At 43.4% G+C, this 18,737-nt stretch overlaps 1 protein-coding gene and 1 pseudogene across 5 annotated transcripts in view; one reads left to right on the top strand and one right to left on the bottom strand.

The window, feature by feature from the left end:
- The window catches only part of PCSK5 (proprotein convertase subtilisin/kexin type 5), a 473,167-nt gene that overhangs the window by 390,836 nt on the left and 63,594 nt on the right, over positions 1-18,737 (top strand). For all 5 annotated transcript variants that reach the window (XM_047423454.1, NM_001372043.1, XM_011518769.4 and 2 more), the window contains 3 exons: positions 11,589-11,631; positions 14,631-14,767; positions 16,021-16,221. In XM_047423454.1, coding sequence (XP_047279410.1) covers positions 11,589-11,631; positions 14,631-14,767; positions 16,021-16,221 — 381 coding nt within the window. The remainder of the gene's footprint in view (positions 1-11,588; positions 11,632-14,630; positions 14,768-16,020; positions 16,222-18,737) is intronic.
- On the bottom strand, positions 5,224-7,504 carry RBM22P5 (RNA binding motif protein 22 pseudogene 5; annotated as a pseudogene).

Below are 18,737 nucleotides of genomic sequence, written 5' to 3' on the forward strand. Positions count from 1 at the left end.
AGGATTGCTTGATCCCAGGAGTACCAGGCTGCAGTAAGCCATGATCACACCACTGCACTCCAGCCTGAGTGACAGAGCCAGACTCTGTCTCAAAAAAACAATAACCAAACAAAAAGATAGGCTGAAATCTAGGTCTCTGGCACCAAACAGCCAAGTTGTGAATGCAAAGCAAAAGTTCTTGAAGGAAATTAAAAGTGCTACTCCAGTGAATACACAAATGATAAAAAAGAGAAACAGCCTTAGTGCTGATATGGAGAAAGTTTTTGTGGTCTGGATAGAAAATCAAACCACAACATTTCCTTAAGCCAAAGCCTAATCCAGAGCAAGGACCTAACTCTCTTCAATTTTATGTAAGCTGAGAGAGGTAAGGAAGCTACAGAAGAAATGTTGGAAGCTAGCAGAGGTTAGTTCATGAGGCTTAAGGAAAGAAGCTGTCTCCATAACATAAAAGTGCGAGGTGAAGCAGCAAGTAATGATGCAGAAGCTGCAGCAAATGGTTCAGCTAAGATCATTGATGGAGGTTAATATAGCAAACAACAGATTTCCAGTTTAGGTGGAACAGCCTTCCATTGGGAAAACATGCCATCTAGGACTTTCATAGCTAGAGAGGAGAAGTCAACGCCTGGCTTCAAAGTCTCAAAGGACAGGCTGACTCTCTTATTAGGGACTAATGCAGCTGGTGACTTTAAGTTAAAGCCAGTATTCACTTATCATTCTGAAAATCCTAGGCCCTTAAGAATTATGCCAAATCCATTCTGCCTGTGGTCCATAAATGAAACAAGGCCGGGTTCAGCACATCTGTTTACAGAATGGTTACTGAATATTTTAAGCCCACGGTGGAGACCTACTGCTCAGACAAAAGAGTTTTCAAACTATTACTGCTCATTGACAATGTACCTGGTCACCTAAGAGTTCCAATGGAGATGTGCAAGATTAATGTTGTTTTCATACCTGCTAACAGGACATTGATTCTGCAGCCCATGGATTGAAGAGTAATTTCAAATTTCAAGTATTATTATTTTGAAACAGGGTCCCACTCTGTCACCCATGCTGGAGTACAGTGGCACACTCTTGGCTCACTGCAACCTCCACCTCCTGGGCTCAAGCAATTCTTCCACCTCAGCCTCCTGGGTTTCTAGAACTACAGGTGTATGCCACCACACTAGGCTAATTTTCATATTTTTTATAGAGATGGGGTTTTGCCACGTTGCCCAGGCTGGTCTTGAACTCCTGAGCTCAACTAATCCAATCACCTCAACCTCCCAAAGTGCTGGTATTACAGGCTTGTGCCGTTGCACCTGGCCTAAGTCTTACTGAGAAAGACACTGTGTATGGCAATAGCTGCCGTAGAGATTCCTCTGATGTATCTGGGCAATGTAAATTGAAACTTCCTGGAAAGGATGCACCATTTTTTTCTTTCTTTTTTTTTTTCCCCACTCTGTTGCCCAGGCTGGAGTGCACCATTCTTTTCTTTGCTTTTTTTTTTTTTTTTTTTTTTTTTTTCGCTCTGTTGCCCAGGCTGGAGCACAGTGGTGTGATCATAGCTCACTGCAGCCTCAAACTCCTGGGCTCAAGTGATCCTCCCACCTCATCCTCCTGACTAGCTAGGACTACAGGTGTGTGCCACTGTGCCTGGCCAATTTTTTATTTTATTTCCAATTTTTTCTTTCTTTCTTTTTCTTTCTTTCTTTCTTCCTTTTCTTCTGTCTTTTTTTTTTTTTCGAGACAGGGTTTTTGCAATCTTGACTCACTGCAGCCTTGACCTCCGAGGCTAACGCAATCCTCCCACCTCAGCCTCCTGAGTAGCTGTGACTACAAGCACTTGCCAATATGCCCAGCTGATATCTATTTTTTGTAGAAATAGAGTCTCCCTATGTTGCCCAGGCTGATCTCAAACTCCTGGGCTCAAGTGATCCTTCCATCTCAGCCTCCCAAAGTGTTGGGATTACAGGTATGAGCCACTGCACCCATCTTATGTTTTTATAATTTCAACTTTTATTTTGATTCAGTGGGTACATGTGCAGATTTATTACATGGGTATGCTGTGTGATGCCGAGGTTTGGGGTATGAATGATCCCATCACCCAGGTAGTGAGCATAGTACCCAATAGGTAGTTTTTCAGCCATTGCCCATCTCCCATAGTAGTCCCCAGTGTCTGTTCTCGTCTTCATGTCCATGGGATTCACCATTCTTGATATCATTTGTGATTCATGGGAGGAGGTCAAGATAGTAACATTAACAGTTTGGAAGAAGTTGATTCTAACCCTCATGAATGACTGGGAAGTTTCAAGACTTCAGTGGAGGAAGTGACTGCAGAGGTGATGGAAATGGTAAGAAAACTAGAATTAGAAGTGGAACCTGAAGATGTGACTGAATTGCTACAATCTCACAATAAAATTTGAACAGACAAGAAATTGGTTCTTATGGTTGAGCAAAGAAAGTGGTTTTTCAAGATGGAAACTTCTCCTGGTGAAGATGCTGTGAACATTGTTGAAATGAAAACAAATGATTTAGAATATTACATAAATTTAGTTGATAAAGTAGCAGCAGAATTTGAGAGGATTGACTCGAATTTTCAAAGAAGTTCTACTGTGGGTAAAATGCTATCAAACAGCATCACATGCTACAGAGAAATCTTTCATGTAAAGGAGGGTCAATCAACGTGGTAAACTTCATTGTTTCAAAAAATTGCCACAGCCACCCCAACCTTCAGAAACCACCACCCTGATCAGTCAAGCAGCCATCAATATCGAGGCAAGACCCTCCACCAGCAAAAGGATCTGAATGCTCAGATGATCATTAGCATTTTTTAGCAATAAAGTATTTCCTAATTAAGGTATGTATATTTTTTAGACATAATGCTATTGCTTACTTAATAGACTACAGTATAGTGTATTACTTTTATATGCACTGGGAAACAAAAGAGTTTGTGTGACCTGCTTTATTGTAACACTTACTTCATTGAGGTGGTCTGGAACTGAACCCATAATATCTCTGAGGCATGCCTGTAGTATACTATTTTAAATATATTCCCAACAGATGCTTTTTTATTAAGGCATAACCAATGATTATTTTGATCTAGAAAGTTTGCTCCGGGGAATAAATTTATGTACTAAAGCTACAGAAGGTGGTGAAGAGGTTGAAAAAATGGAATCTAATCATATCATTCAAACATTTTCATTCACATCTATATTTCCACTTATCTCCTGACCCCAAAATGCTAGGTAAACAAGTTAATTAGAATCAAATAGTCCGTCTATAAAGAAGGGCTGGAAGCCAAGTGCAGGAGATTCCTTATGTACATGCGAGTCAGAGAGCCATTTCTTCTGGTTACAATCTTAAGGAACCAAACTCAACATGTTTTGACAAGGTTAAATATGAATTTATTAGCTCAGATGTAGCATTTGGTTAGGTGTGGCCTGGGTCACTGGTCTCCAGAAAGAGGTAGGAAAAATAATTTATTTAGGCTGCAAAAGAAAAAAAAAAAAGAACTTATGTTCATGATTTTTATGTTAACCTCTTCAATCTTAAATGTTCTACTCTAGCACATCTCTTTAATGTATGTGAAATATTCATTGATATGGTTTGGCTGTGTCCTCACCCAAATCTCATCTTGAATTGTAGCTCCCATAATCCCCACATGTCAAGGGAGGGACCCGGTGGGGGGTAACTGAATCATGGGGGCAGGTTTTTCCCATGCTGTTCTCATGATAGTGAATAAGTTTCATGAGATCTGATGGTTTTATAAAGGACAGATACCCCGCACACACTCTCTTGCCTGCCACCATGTAAGACATGTCTTTGCTTCTCCTTCACCTTCCACCATGATTGTGAGGCCTCCTCAGCCACATGGAACTGTGAGTCCATTAAACCCTTTTTTTTTTTTTTGTCTTTTTTTTTTTTTTGAGGCAGAGTTTCGCTCTTCTTGCTCAGGCTGGAGTGCAATGGCGCGATCTCAGCTCACTGCAACCTCCGCCTCCTGGGTTCAAGTGATTCTCCTGCCTCAACCTCCCAAGTAGCTGGGATTACAGACATGTGCCAGCATGCCCAGCTAATTTTGTATTTTTAGTAGAGACAGAGTTTCTCCATGTTGGTCAGGTTGGTCTCAAACTCCCGACGTCAGGTGATCCACCAGCCTCAGCCTCCCAAAGTGCTGGGATTACAGGCTTGAGCCACTGCGCCTGGCCAAACCTCTTTTTCTTTTAAATTACCCAGTCTCAGGTATTTCTTCATAGCAGTATGAAAATGCACTAATACATTCATGCACTAGTACATAATAAATAATAATGAATAATAATTTATACACACACATATATTAGCATGCAAGTGGAGGGTGAGCATAACGTGTATAAATGTTATATTTTCTAACATACTAATTTTTTAAGCCAATGAGTGATTAATCAAAACAGTATGGAGCTTAGAACTTTAGATTTCTGTTGTTGATTGAGATTGGAGAGTGGCTGATGCTGGAAGTTCTATGAAGTATGGCTGGAGCATGACTTTGGTCTAATACTTGGCCTAAGTGTGGGAGATATTGGCCAACCTGAATCCTGGGAAGTGAATGGAGCCCCTAGTTTGGTAGAGCATAAGATATAGATGAGTAGACCAGAGAAGGTGACTGGGCCAAAAGGTTGAGATTGTCTGGGAGAAGCAAGTATCCAGGGTATGCTAAACTACAATCAAATGGGTAATGTTTTATGGAACATTTGCAGATGTAGCCTAAGAGAGTCAAAGTGGAAGGAACCTAAGGAGTCTAGAACACTTGAGAAGAGAGTGAGAGAGGTGAGAGCCTAGGAGTCTCCCAAGAGCACATATTTGCCATGCCCATTCGTCTGTCATCCTAGCCAGTAACCTAGTAGGTTCTTGCAGTAACAGGACACAGGACAGATAGGTTTCAATAGCAAGTGGTAGGGGGGGAGTCTGGCTTGCATGGGGTATGAATGAAAGTCCTAGAAGCTTGAATGAGATAGCCAAAGATAAGATAGGAGCACCCTAAAATTACCCCCCCACCACCAGTTTTGCGGAGGGTTGATTCTGCCTAAACATAGTGTCTACTTCATGGCCAATTCTGGCAGATATAGACATTCTATGATAAAAGGCTATCCTTAAGACATTGAGTTTCTTCTGTCTCCCCCAAAAGAAAAATAAACATGTGAAGAGAATAATAAAATTAGAAAAAAAAAATAAAGTTAGAAGCATTTTAGCTAGTATGTTCCTCTTTTTTTGAATGGAATACAAAGACATTTCATTTTCGTCTTTTTTAGATAGTGAACTATTAAATTTCTTTGGTAATAAATGAGAAAAAAAGAGGAAAGAAAAGATCTGGGCTGCGATGATTACTGGGTTCTATTTGTCTTTCTGATAATGTGAATTTAAAACAGTTAAATCACACTTACACCACTACAAAAATTAGTACTAGTAACCTTTTGGAGATTATAAAATACAATATACCCAGTGGACATAAATGTGTTCAAAAGGTTTTTTTCCTGCAGGTCATTTTTCCCCCCATAAACAGAGACAAAGTGAACATATGATTGGGTTGGTAATTCTGCTGTATATTGCAATTCACCCAGCTTCTTGTCATTCACAGAAATGAAGAAGACAGGCATTAGATTTTACTTGTCATGTGATATTAGTAGCCAGATGTTTTAATGGCAGCTTATCTGAGGTCCATCAATCCTTTGAATATGTGTAGAAAAGCATGGCCATTGTTTCTCACCTGCCCACATCTGAACACATTCAGATACCATGGAAACCACAAAGGAAGAAAAAAAATACTTATTCCAAGATTCATTGATTGGGATATTTAAGTGTCCTTTCTTTCATACAGCCAGGGGTGTGATAATGTGCTAGGGCCTGCTGTGTTTTCTGGCATGAGCTCCATCTCTGAGGGTCCTGAGAAAGACAGTGGATGGATCCTGGAGTCCTCTTGAAAGGGGAAGGTGGTCCTATTGAGTGGAACATGTGTGTCTCAAATCCTGGAGGTAGGGGCAGAGCAATAGCAGGGGTGGGGACAGGGCAATAGCAGTTGAACATGGCAAGGCAATGTTCACCACAGCTGTAGGAGCACTTGGAGGTAGGTTGAAGTCATTGGCAGATGCATCTGCTGCTGCAGAAGGAGGAAGAGCTCCCGGCAGTACTGGAATCAGCTCTAGCTGGATCCCCGGGTCTGGGGTTCTGTCATTTTCCTTTCCTCTGGCTGCCTGGGATCTTCCCCATTTTACACTTAGTCTGCAGCCATTGGTGATTAACTTATTAAAGGACTTCTCTACAGCCACTTGTGCAGCCTGCCCTGTGGAAACCTGGATGAAAGCACACCGCTGTCTCTGCACAACAGGGATTGTCCAGATCTCTCTAAATAGGTAGAGATTATTTCTTAAGATCTGTCTCAGTAATGGTATCACCCGGATCACCGGTGTCTAGTGTGGGGATAGTCTTATCCTCTGGGAGTTCCAGATGAGGCGTGGCTGAAGCCTACTATAGAAGCTTATCTGCTACACGGTCGTTGACTATATAATATCAGTTTTTAATATCTGATCAGCAAGGGAATCATGTGGACCTGTAGGCTTCTCATGTCTCTATCGAAACTCCTCTCCTCTCTTACCCTCTCCCTTCACCCAGAAGGAGCAAATGTGGGGCTTATTCTTTAGGTAATAGGGTATGGTCCAGGCCAGTTTGTCTAGCATGTCACTGGTGGATGTGGCTTTCCCCAGCAGGCCAACTGGCTGTCTTCCATTCGAGTTAGAAATCCCTCTCTCCACATTCTGCGTGTAGTACTCTTCTCTTCTCTGACATCTGACTTTGGCATGTCATCTTTTTTTTGTTGTTTTTTTGAGATGGAGTCTCACTCTGTCGCCCAGGCTGGAGTGCAGTGACACAGTCTCAGCTCACTGCAAGCTCTACCTCCCGGGTACATGCCATTCTCCTGCCTCAGCCTCCTGAGTAGCTGGGACTACAGGCACCTACCACCACACCCGGCTAATGTTTTGTATTTTTAGTAGAGACGGGGTTTCATCATGTTAGCCAGGCTGGTCTCGATCTCCTGACCTTTTGATCTGCCCGCCTCAGCCTCCCAAAGTGCTGGGATTACAGGCATGAGCCACCGCGCCCGGCCAGCATGTCCTCTTTTAAAGACAACGCAGCATCACAAACCTAGGTGGGCAGGCCATGCTCCAGGTCTAAGAGGCAGGTCTGACAGACATACTTCAGGCTTCTGCAGGTTCGACATACTTTATTTTTCTTGAAATGCATGTGGGCCCCAGGGCACCAGCAAAACATTGTGAATGGCCTGGCACAGATTTCTCATTTTTCTCATACTTTTCTTTGGTCATTCAGATATAATGGGTTTCCTCTAAGACATGTCTGATACAGAATGGAGAAGTATGCATTTTCCCAGTGTTTCCTGTTTAAGGTGTTGAAACCAAGACAGGTCACCATCTCGAGGGGGTCTTGAGGTAGTGGTAGGTTTTAGGTGGGAGAGAGACACCATGATCCTGTCAAGCCCAGCTCTTCTTTGTTCCCCTGTTCTTGATGCTCCGGACAATTGCTTTGACAGTATGTGATTCTCCTTTCTTGATTCAAGGTGAAACTCACTTCTCAGGAATCCCCATTCTTGGAGAAAACTCTGGATTTCCTGGTCTCTCCAAGGACTGGCCTGTAATACCAGGGCTTTGGTAGCCTGAGGCAGGAGGATTGCTTGAGGTCAGGAGTTCAAAACCACCAGGGCAACACAGGGAGACCCCATCTTAAATTCATGCTTTTCTGCTAGAATACTGAGATACATAACCTGGAAGCTGGAAGTCCAGTTTCTTCACAAGTATCTTTTTCCAGTGACAAAGTAACTTCCCTGTAATCTCAGCACTTTGGGAAGCCAAGGCAGAAGGATCACTTGGGATCAGGGGTTTGATACCAGCCTGGATACCATAGGGAGACCTGGTCTCTTCAGACAGCCAGCATGGCCAGGGCAGCCAGTCTCACCCTGTAATTGTGACATTTTGTCTTCATGAAATGCCAGCTTGCTGACTTGTGCCGACATTTTATTTCTCACAGAGCAGTAAGAGGCCAGGACCCTTTCACAGTCTGCATGGGGTTGCCATGGTTATGCTCACCCTCCACTTGTATGTATCCTGAATTATGGGACACCGAGTTTATGTAAACCATAAAAATAAATTCTTCTTCTCTAGACGTTCAAGTTTAAAATATCTCCTTTCCAATACATCTTATAGGTATGATGTGCACAGCTCCCACTGTGGCCCTCATCCATCCAAATTCAATGGTGAAGGTGATCGTTATTACTGAGAACAAAATAAAATGGCATAGAATGTAAATTGGCTGCTGAAGGCGATGTTGAAGCAGGAGGCAATGTCTCCATGGGACAGTGAGTTCGTGATGAGTGACAGTACAGATGATCCCCAAAGACACAGTGGGAAGGTGACACAGGGGATCATGAAGAGCTCTCAAGAGAGAGCGGACTTTGTAGTCCGGCCCACCCCACCCCATACAAATGAGACAATAAAAATGACTTTTCTCAAGACAGAAAGACGGCATCCCCGTCCTGACGAGGCATCTGCTCGCATGTTCTCCTTAGGAAAGATATGAGCAGCTGGAAGCCAGCCACTGTTTCTGAAGACTTTTTTCCAAATGTGTGAGGCTCTCTCTGAATTCTGACTGAACTTTCCCCATCTCTCCCCAAAATATGCTCTCTCAGCTCAAAAGTTTGACAAAATCAAATCACCCGAGCTATTTAAACATCCTTCTTTGGATAACACCTTCCAAGACAGCTAACAATTGTAGCTTGTTTAAGACTCCCTTCCCATTCCCCTCACCACACACACACACACACACACACACACACACACACACACACGCAACATACACACACACACACACACACACACACACACTAGAAGCCAGGAAAATTCATCTTTCTCCTTAAGCCACCCCTCCTCACCATCTAAATGCCAAGCTGACTTAGAGTCAACTTCTAGATTTGGGATTGTTACCTTCTTCCTTAATCTCATAACAGCAGCCTCTCAGTGGTCAAGCTAAATCCATTTAGCTTATGTCTGACTTGTGGATCTTCTGGGGTGGAAACAATTTTTTAAATAATTCTCATTCTTCAGAACAACTGCTAATAATGAGAAAAACTAATGAGCATTCATAAGCTGTATAAGGCACAGTTCCTGTTCTATGCATTATTCATTTATGCAAACTGTTGTAAAGGTACCAAATTCACTGTGCAACTGGGCTGGAAAAGTCCCTGAACTCAAGATGGCATTGGTATGCACAATTCTGAGGCTTGGTTCTGTTTAACATTTTCATCAGTGACCTGCTTAAAGGAGCAGAGAGCAAGCTCATTAAGTTCCTAGATGGGAGGGATGACCAGAACATTAAAGAACAGGATTAGAATTTCCCCAGCCCTTGCCAAATTAGCAAAACTGTTAGAGTCAAATATGTTCATTAGGGAGGCAGAGTAAAGTAAGCTGCCCAAATATAAGCTGAGTGGTTGGAGGTTATTTAGAAACTGAAAAGAATATGGATGCAAAAATAGACACGTAATGGAAAATGAACTAGTCCAGGGGAACCACTGGTGTTCACTGGGGCCTCTGCTGGCCCTTACAATGGGTTCAGATCCCCAGCCTATGAATTGGTCTTTCCCAAGATTTCTAAGAATGCCAGGGAGCTTTTCTTTCCCATGGTCACCTCTAGCTTCACTTCCTGGTTCCACCTAATTAGCCTGGTTTTTGGTTCATTTCACTGTCCTGTCTTAGTCACCGTATTACAAACCATGTTGACCCAGACATTAAAAACCATTTCCCTCCCATGAGCAGATAACAGCTTCCTGCAGAAGGGCCCTTCTATCTCTTTGGCTGTCTTGGCTCTTGTTCAACTCTTCCAATTAAACCTCTACCCCAAGGAGCTTAACAAGGTAGTTTCCTAAATATAGACAGTTCTTTTCCTAAGAGGAACTCTGAAACCAGCTGTTAAGACAATTACAGACACCTGTGTCCCCTAGCAAAGATGAGCATGACCAAGTCATGAGCTAATAGTGCTATAGTCAGGGGACGGCAAATTCTGTGAAGTGGCAGGGAGTAAATATCTTTGGTCTCTTGCAATTACTCAACTCTGGTTATATAGCATGAAAGCATTCTTACACAATACATACAAATAGATGGCAAGGTCAAGGTCCTGGAGTGGGCCATAGTTGCCAACTCCTGCTAGGCTCAACTTCAGAATCTGTGACTTTCCAGAAGTCTTAACAACCATCTTGTCCAACCAGCTCATTTTACACCCGCAGAAACCAGGACCCAGAAAGTAGGTGACATTTGTGCAAGTTCACAAGATAATTAAGCCTGAGTTGAAACTTCAAACAGGAAGCTCAACTTCCAGGCCAGCACTGTTTCTACTGCACCATCATCAAGCTATTTCCAGAAGGTTCTGCAGATCCCTGCTTTAATTAGCAGAGCCTTTGCTAGAAATTTTCCCACTTAACATTTAGTGCAATGCATTAGTTGTATTATGTGTAGTACACAGGAATATCATTTGGTAGCCTCCCTAGGACCCAAGATGAACGTGTGACTAAAGATTTGAGTGAGGTTGTGTCTACCTCCTAAGGGCAGTCTGAAAAAACCAGAAGAGGGCAGAATAGATTAGAAAGGAAAGCTATGCACAAAGTTCAAATGATATAGTTTTATTTTGTTAATTAAAGGTGACATAAAATTTTCACATACCAAGAGGAACGTTTTAAGGAGGAACAGTTGTCTTTCATCTCCTATTAAAATAAGAAGAGCAAGACTGGAAGGTAGGTTAGATCACAGAAAGAACCTGCCAGAGGTAGCTCTGTTATGTGCAAGAACTGCAGGCCAGAGGAAGTCACCGAATTCTCTTAATAGCTAGATCTGAGAGTTGCATCTTCTGGGAAGTGTTAGGAGGGAGAGAAATAGGCTGAGATGATGACTCTCAAAATCTTTTCTCTCTCTTTAAGTCCCCTGAAAGCTGCAGGAAAGAACCCTTCTGTGAGCCAGCAGGGATGCATTGAATCATTACTCTTAATGAGAACAAGACAGTTTTTTTAAGAAAGTTGCGAAGGGCGTAACATGAAGTGGATACTTGGGAAAAATAATTGTGCAGATTTCGAAGGAGTGCCCCAAATGATGCTCACTTCCATTGGCAAGATTCTTGGGTAACTGATGGAAAACCCTCTATTCAGGGTCAGAAGCTTGTAGCCCCTTCCAAATATTTGTGTGTGGACTTGGTTGATCCCTCTATCTCAGTAAAGGCCAGGGGGTTCTTAATGTGGATGGTCGTTGATCTTTAATTCGAAGACCCAGTAGCTTGAACCTATTCCTCCTTGAAAGTCAGGGCCAAGTGTTTATGAGAATTCTTACTACCTTTGATAAAGATAAATCCTAGTGTACATCTTGTTGCTAATTAAAAACAGTACAATCTGTTCAAATATTATTTCTGGACAGTACATTTCATGAAACTATCCCACAGGATTGTTTATCTCAAGCTACAGCTTTCAGACCCTATTTTTCCAAATGACGAATTCCTCATGATTATTACTTTTTATTATTTTTTTTTTCCAGATGATCCAGGAACATGTACATCTTGCGCTATGGGGTATTACAGGTAAGTCTGGTCTTCCTTTTCATGGCACTAACTTTTCTGCAGTTTAAGCATTACTGACATAATCCTCAATCCAGCGATTAAAGCAAAGTGGCCCTGCAGCCCGAAGCAACTCTGTCCTGTCAGGCTATTAATGAGCAATTCTTGGATTTAGCAATAAGAGCCCAGCTGTTTCCTTGCCTCGAAAGGAGGCCATCTCTTTCTTGATCCTGGAAGTCATCCAGCCTGACACTGGTGTCTAGGAATCCTGCCATGGGTTACCAAGATTCAGATCTTGCTGTTCTTGGGCAGACCTTAATAATATACCTGGTCCTAAGTAAGCTGTTTGCAAACGTCTGCATGGATACTGCGTCCTTAACCAGAGCGAAGGCTCCAGGGTGAAGCCAGGTGCTATATCAGCTCTTAGTCATCCCCTAGGTAACAAGAGACACAGACCACTAGGTTAAATGAAACAGAGGTAACCATCACTCCCAATGTACTCTAAAAACAATCCACAAAATCAAAAATGGCATGTTTCAATATCGCCCCCTCTTCCTAGTCTAGCTTCCCTTCCAGCACACACTGTTGACCGTCCTAGAAGGAAAATGAAAGAGAAAGGAGCTGCAAAGGAAAGGAAGTCCGTGGGTGATGCATGGGCTGCATAATCCCTCCCTGTCCTCCTAAGAACTCAGGAGTTTTGTGATATACAAACTCTCACGACTATTTCATCTCTCGATCATTTTATTGAGATTGTCAGAGACACAGGAGGATGTTAATCTCCTGAAGAGAAAACTGAAGCTCAGAGAGGGGCAAGGTTTTACTCCAGTTGCACCACAGCTACTGACAGGTCTACATTTGCGACATTTGGCCTTTGGCGGGTCACCTCCTCTTGTCACATTGCCTTTTCCCTCCATCCATAGAATTGGACAAAGCAATGTGGTGACAAGAGAAGGCGACCCACCTGTCCAAAAACAAATACACTTGAAATGTGGTAATAGGTAAGAAAAAGTAAAAGGAGTGTGGAGGATGGGAGAGAAAGGGAAGCCCAACAAGCTGAAACATACTAAAAATGATCAGTTAACCTTATCAGTTCTTAGCCTTACGGTTTTAATCTAACTTTTCCAGAATAGCCTGCCATTCTCTACATTGACTATGTCTCACATCACTGCACTCCTGACCCACTTTGTTTTTTTGGGTTTTTTTTGTTTGTTTGTTTTTAAGACAGTCTCACTCTGTGGCCCAGGCTGGAGTGCAGTGGCACGATGTCAGCTCACTGCAACCTCTGCCTCCCAAGTTCAAGTGATTCTTGTGCCTCAGCCTCCCTAGTAGCTGGGATTATAGGTGCACACCACCACGCCCAGCTAGTTTTTGTATTTTTAGCAGAGACAGGGTTTCGCCATGTTGGCCAGGCTCTGTTAAACTTTGTCAAACATCCTCTGTTAAACGTTGGAGCCAAACCTGGCCGCCTCTTCAGCTCTCCACTACTCGCTAATGAGCATGTTTCATAAAACCCTCTGAAAAACAAATACCCTGGAAGAACATGCTCCAATATCACTAAGGGTACAACATGAGATATTTATTTCAAGAAACAAACATATATAATCTTTGAAAACATTCAGCAACTTTGAATACAGCGAGTGAAATGCCTTACAATAGACATTGTTGCTGGGCGTGTTGGCTCACGCCTGTAATCCCAACACTTTGGGAGGCCAAGGTGGGTGGATCACCTGAGGTCAGGAGTTTGGGACCAGCCTAGCCAACCTGGGGAAACCCCGTCTCTACTAAAAATACAAAAATTAGCCGAGTGTGGTGGCATGCATCTGTAGTTCCAGCTACTCAGGAAGCTGAGGCAAGAGAATCACTTGAACCCAGGAGGTGGAGGTGGCAGTGAGCCAAGATCATGCCATTGCACTCCAGCCTCAGTGACAGGGAGATTTAGTCTCAAAAAAAAAAAAAAAAACAGTTGTTAAGGAAGATATGCAAAGGTTTCCCCTGATATCATGCTGATGCTCTGAAATTCATCAAAGGCAGGGGTCAATTTCACTCCACTCCTCCTTCAGGTAAGCCTGCAATTCAGTGGAGTCTGAATTACAACATTTTACTGTAGAATGAGAATAACAGATAACGTACATAAAAATATTTATAAATAAAAGCTAAGCTACTTCGCTACTATTGTTAATAATCTGGTTACAGACATTTTAGTAAGCTGCCTGGACTCGACACCAAGCTATTTCAGGCCTCAGTGCCAGTTGCTATGTGATAAATCACACAAGCAACCTTTTCACACAGACTTTGGTTAAAATCCCAGTCCCACCGTTAGCTAGCTCTGTGATTTTTGAGCACTTAACCCTGAGCTCCAGTTCCCTTATCTAGAAATTAAAGATACATGATATCTACCATACGAGATTTGTGGAGATTTAGATGAGCTAATACTTGACACATAATCAGTACTCTATAAATAAGTATCAGTACCCCTTCTTTCTCCCCAGCCTTCTCCCAGCTGCCCTGATAAAGAGTCCTTGGAGGTCCAGAAGGAGGTGGTTAGTGACTTGGGTTGAGGGGTGCATAACAGACCAAGCCTGAAATTCAATTATCCACTCCTGTTGAAAATGCTGCACAGGCTGGGCGTGGTGGCTCATGCCTGTAATTCCAACACTTTGGGAGGCAGAGGTGGGCAGATCCCCTGAGGCCAGGAGTTTGAGACCAGCCTGGGCAACATGGCAAAACCCCCTCTCTGGAAAAAAATACAAAAATTAGCCAGGCATGGTGGTGTGCACCTGTAATCCCAGCTACTCGGGAGGCTGAGGCAAGAGAATCACTTGAGCCCGGGAGACAGAAGTTGCAGTGAGCCGAGATCGACCACTGCACTCCAGCCTGGGCGACAAGAGCAAAACTCCATCTCAAACAAAACAAAACAAAACGAAACAAAAAACTCTGCATAGACATACATAAGGAGATTAAATTATGGTGAAGAGAAATACATCAACATAAGTCATGAAAGAAATGATGTCTTCTTCCTCTAGGTTTGATCACCATTGTTATAAAACCTGTCCTGAGAAGACCTACAGTGAGGAAGTGGAATGCAAGGCGTGTGATAGTAACTGTGGCAGCTGTGACCAGAATGGGTGTTACTGGTGTGAAGAGGGCTTCTTTCTCTTAGGTAAGTTAGAAAATGGCACCATCCAAGCTAAGAACCAGGCACTGGAGCTCCACACAGTCGGGGCCACAGGAGCGCACATGTGATTGGTTTCAGAGTCTGTGCGTGTGGGCACCTCTGGCCCAAGGAGAAATTTTAATTTGGTTTAGAAATAAACATTAGCCAAACCACCTCCTTCTGCTTTTATTACTGAAGCATGGTTCCTGTTCCACTAATTAATCTCAAATATCTCCAAGCTGATGGAAACAAGGCTGAATTGGATGGAGATAGAGAGTGGGGACCTGAAGATGAATGTTTTGGCATTGAAGTCACCTGGCATATTGAGAGCTCTGACCCTTGTCTTGAGACTTAATCCATCTTATATATCCCCATGCACTGTAAGAATCTAACAAGATCCCTTGCCTTAGGCTTTGGTCAACTCACTGACTGATGGAAATGGATAGTTAGGAAAGAAATACAGTGTGACTCTTCCAGCTGAAGAGGATAATAGCCCAATGCACTTGAGTGTTTGGGGGAGAAAGAATGAGAAGGACAGCCCACAATGATCTTCAGTGTTTCTCTACACAGAGATTTATTTTATTTGTAATTTTTCAAGGCCTCAAGGATTCTGTATTCGATGCTCTTAACCCTCTAATGGCCAATGTAAATTCCCAGTTGAAAAAGGACTTAGGTAAAGTGTTGGATTTTTTTAGATGGAGTCTCACTCTTGTCACCCAGGTTGGAGTGCAGTGGCGCAATCTCAGCTCACTGCAACCTCTGTTGGCCAGGCTGGCCTCGAACACCTGACCTCAGGTGATCCACCCACCTCAGCCTCCCAAAGTGCTGGGATTACAAGCATGAGCCACCTCGCCCGACCTGGATTTATTAAAACACATTTCTTGGTTGACATAAGCTAAAGCCATCTTGGTTTCTTTGAAAACAAATGCAAAGGCTGGACACAGTGGCCTGGCCAACATGGTGAAACCCCATCTCTACTAAAAATATATAAGCCGTGCGTGGTGACACATACCTGTAGTCCCGGTCACTCAAGAGGCTGAGGCAGGAGAATTGCTTGAACCCGGGAGGTGGAGGATGCAGTGAGCCGAGATCATGCCACTGCACTTTAGCCTGGGCAACAGAGAGAGACTCCATCTCAAAAATAATAATAAAAACAAATGCAAAGAAAAATGTCCCTAAAATTTCCTCCAGCCTCTTTAGAACTTGGCCTTGCAAAGATCACTAAAGCCTTCATGCTTTCTCTCTGTGTTCTCACATAGGTGGCAGTTGTGTGAGGAAATGTGGTCCTGGATTCTATGGTGACCAAGAAATGGGAGAATGTGAGTCCTGCCACCGAGCATGCGAAACCTGCACAGGCCCTGGTCATGACGAGTGCAGCAGCTGCCAGGAAGGACTGCAGCTGCTGCGTGGGATGTGCGTGCATGCCACCAAGACCCAGGAGGAGGGCAAATTCTGGAATGGTATGTGCCCCCCAAAAAAGAGGTCACAGGGGTCTAGCGACCTACTCTGCTTCCCTCCTTCTATAACTCTGGTTTTTTTAGTTATCCAGGAGAGAAAGGCTGTGCAGAAAAACAAGAGTTTGGAGTGAGAATCAAGTTGGGATCGTTCCTGAGTCTCTCTGATGCTTGCAGTAGGAGTGGGTAGGAAGCTGAGGTTGGCATTCAGCCAGCAGAGAGAGCCCAAAGGGCAATTTATAATTAGTCTACCTGCTTGAGTTTCTACCTGGGTGAAGCAGGCCCGGAAGCAAGTGAAGAGAGTCACGGAGGGAAATGGCCCTGGTATCATTTTCTCAGAAATTTCGGAGTCACTTCTATCACAGGCATGTCCTACGTCCTTATTACATGTCCTTTTTACAGTAAAGGAAAATTTTACCTGTAGGGTAGGCTTTTCCAATTAGACAAGCAAGAACTGCTCGAATGTATTAGATTTTATGCTAAAAACAGACGGTCTCTATGGCTGCGTTATTAGAGCTCACCGTCAGTCAAGCTTGCCTTTAAAAGTTGCTCTTCCCAGTTGCAGACAGGGAAAGCGTGAAGCTTCTGAGGAGGGAGGAGAGGGGACAGGTGTGGGAGCTTGGAATCCAACAGCAAAGCCCTGCAGGTGCTCATTCCTCCCCGAGTCTTTAGAACGCGCCTCCTCACACTTGAGCGTCAGTTATAGGCTTCCTTGCAAGGTAATTACAAACTTTCAGCGACCCCTCTGTGACCGAGGTGGTTAAAAAACAAAATCCTCTTCCTGTTGGAAAAATCTGACTCATGTTCTATGCGGAGACAGTCACAAAAACAGGAGCTGCTCTTCATTTGATTTCGAGGCAAGAATTTGTTAAAAGGGTCACTTCGGTGCAAAGGCAACGGCAGCCGAAGAGAGTGCTGTACAGGAGGAGTGTGCTAAGGGCTCGAGGGAGTGACAGCTCTGTGGTTTTTGCTGGGCTGGAGAGGAGGCACGTCCATGGCTGCTGTCTACTACGGCAGTTTTACACATGTGACTTCAAGGAAGAGCAGCTCAGAGACCGTGGAAAGCCCAGCAGCCAAAGGCCACGGAGAACACGGGCCCTATTTCAGAGACAGAGCCGAGAAGATTATTCAATCCAGATTGGGCTATCTTCTGTGAGTTATAGCTGAAGCAAAATGCTGAAAATGAGTTTGTTTGGCATTCAGGCATTTAAGAGGCAGTGCAAGCCAAAAGGAAAATGGTCTGGTGCTGTGTTTCTAGCTGAACATCTGTATTTTATCTGGCGTCCAGATGATGACACGGTCCAGGGAGCCAAGAGTTAGAGCAGGCTTGATTCCCCAAATGATTCCACGTCCCTTCAACTGGACTACGCATTTTGCAAGCAGAAACCAGGCTTCAGTGGTTCCCTTTTGTCGAAGCACCACACCCACCCCTCCACATTTTCTACTATCACAATGTAATGTTTTTGAGGAGAGGGAGGAATTAGTGCATTTGGGGATTTTTCACTAATAGGGGATTGGGGACAGAGATGAGAGTGTTTCTCATGGCTGGACAAAAGCAATCAAGTCAACGACAGAGCTGTACTTTCCCATTCCCATGACCTATGAAATAAGACATGCAGACCATTAACACAGAGAAATAGCCATTTATTCACTAAGCAAGGTAAAGCTGTAGCTCAGCTTCCCCCAGCATAGTGTAAGCACTGAAATGGATAGTAAATGGGAAATGCATTCCATAAAGTCCTGGGAGTATTTGAGCCAATGCCTACAACCTTCTCCTGACTTCTTTTGCTTAAAAAAAACAGGATCGAGAGTGTAATAGGAGAGGAGAGGCTTCCAGAGAACAAGCACTAATTAGCCACACCTTTCAGATGATGGAAAGCAGATTGCAGTCATCCTGGGTCAATTCAGAGGAAACCCAGGCAAATTACAGAGTGTTTTTGAGAGGATATAGCTGCCTAGGTGGTACCAGAACGTTTTTCTGTTTCATTTTGGGTTTTGTTTTATTTTGTTTTTCAAACACAGATTCAGATTCAGGTAGGAAAGGTAAGATGACACACACTTCAATCCATTCCTTCACCCATGCTGCTCCCCAGTGGAAACAATAAGATCCTGTTTGCGTCTGAAGACTACAACCAACCCCATGAGCATCTATCAGCACAGGCTGGGAAAACACCCTTGAAATAAAAGTCCAGCTAGAGTTCCCTGAACTCCTCTTTTAATAAGGTGGCTAATCAGAATGAGAATGACAACAGTGAGAGAGCCACCATTCTTTGCCAACTGCCAACAAAGTGGGAATACCTCCTACCTAGTCTAAGGATGCAGATTCCTCCACCTATCAGACAATGCCTGACAAATCCTCCAGCTAAGACTAAGTAATCAAAGATTGTGCTCGACTCTCTGTTTTTTCAGCCACCAAAAAGTCACTGCACAAATGTATAGATCATCCCCAGACCCTCTCTCCTGGTCACTAGTATATTGTGACAATTATTTAGTGTCCCTAAATGGCAGGAATAAAACCAATA

The sequence above is a fragment of the Homo sapiens genome, chromosome 9 (genome assembly GCF_000001405.40).
Source record: "Homo sapiens chromosome 9, GRCh38.p14 Primary Assembly".
Classification (NCBI taxonomy): domain Eukaryota; kingdom Metazoa; phylum Chordata; class Mammalia; order Primates; family Hominidae; genus Homo; species Homo sapiens.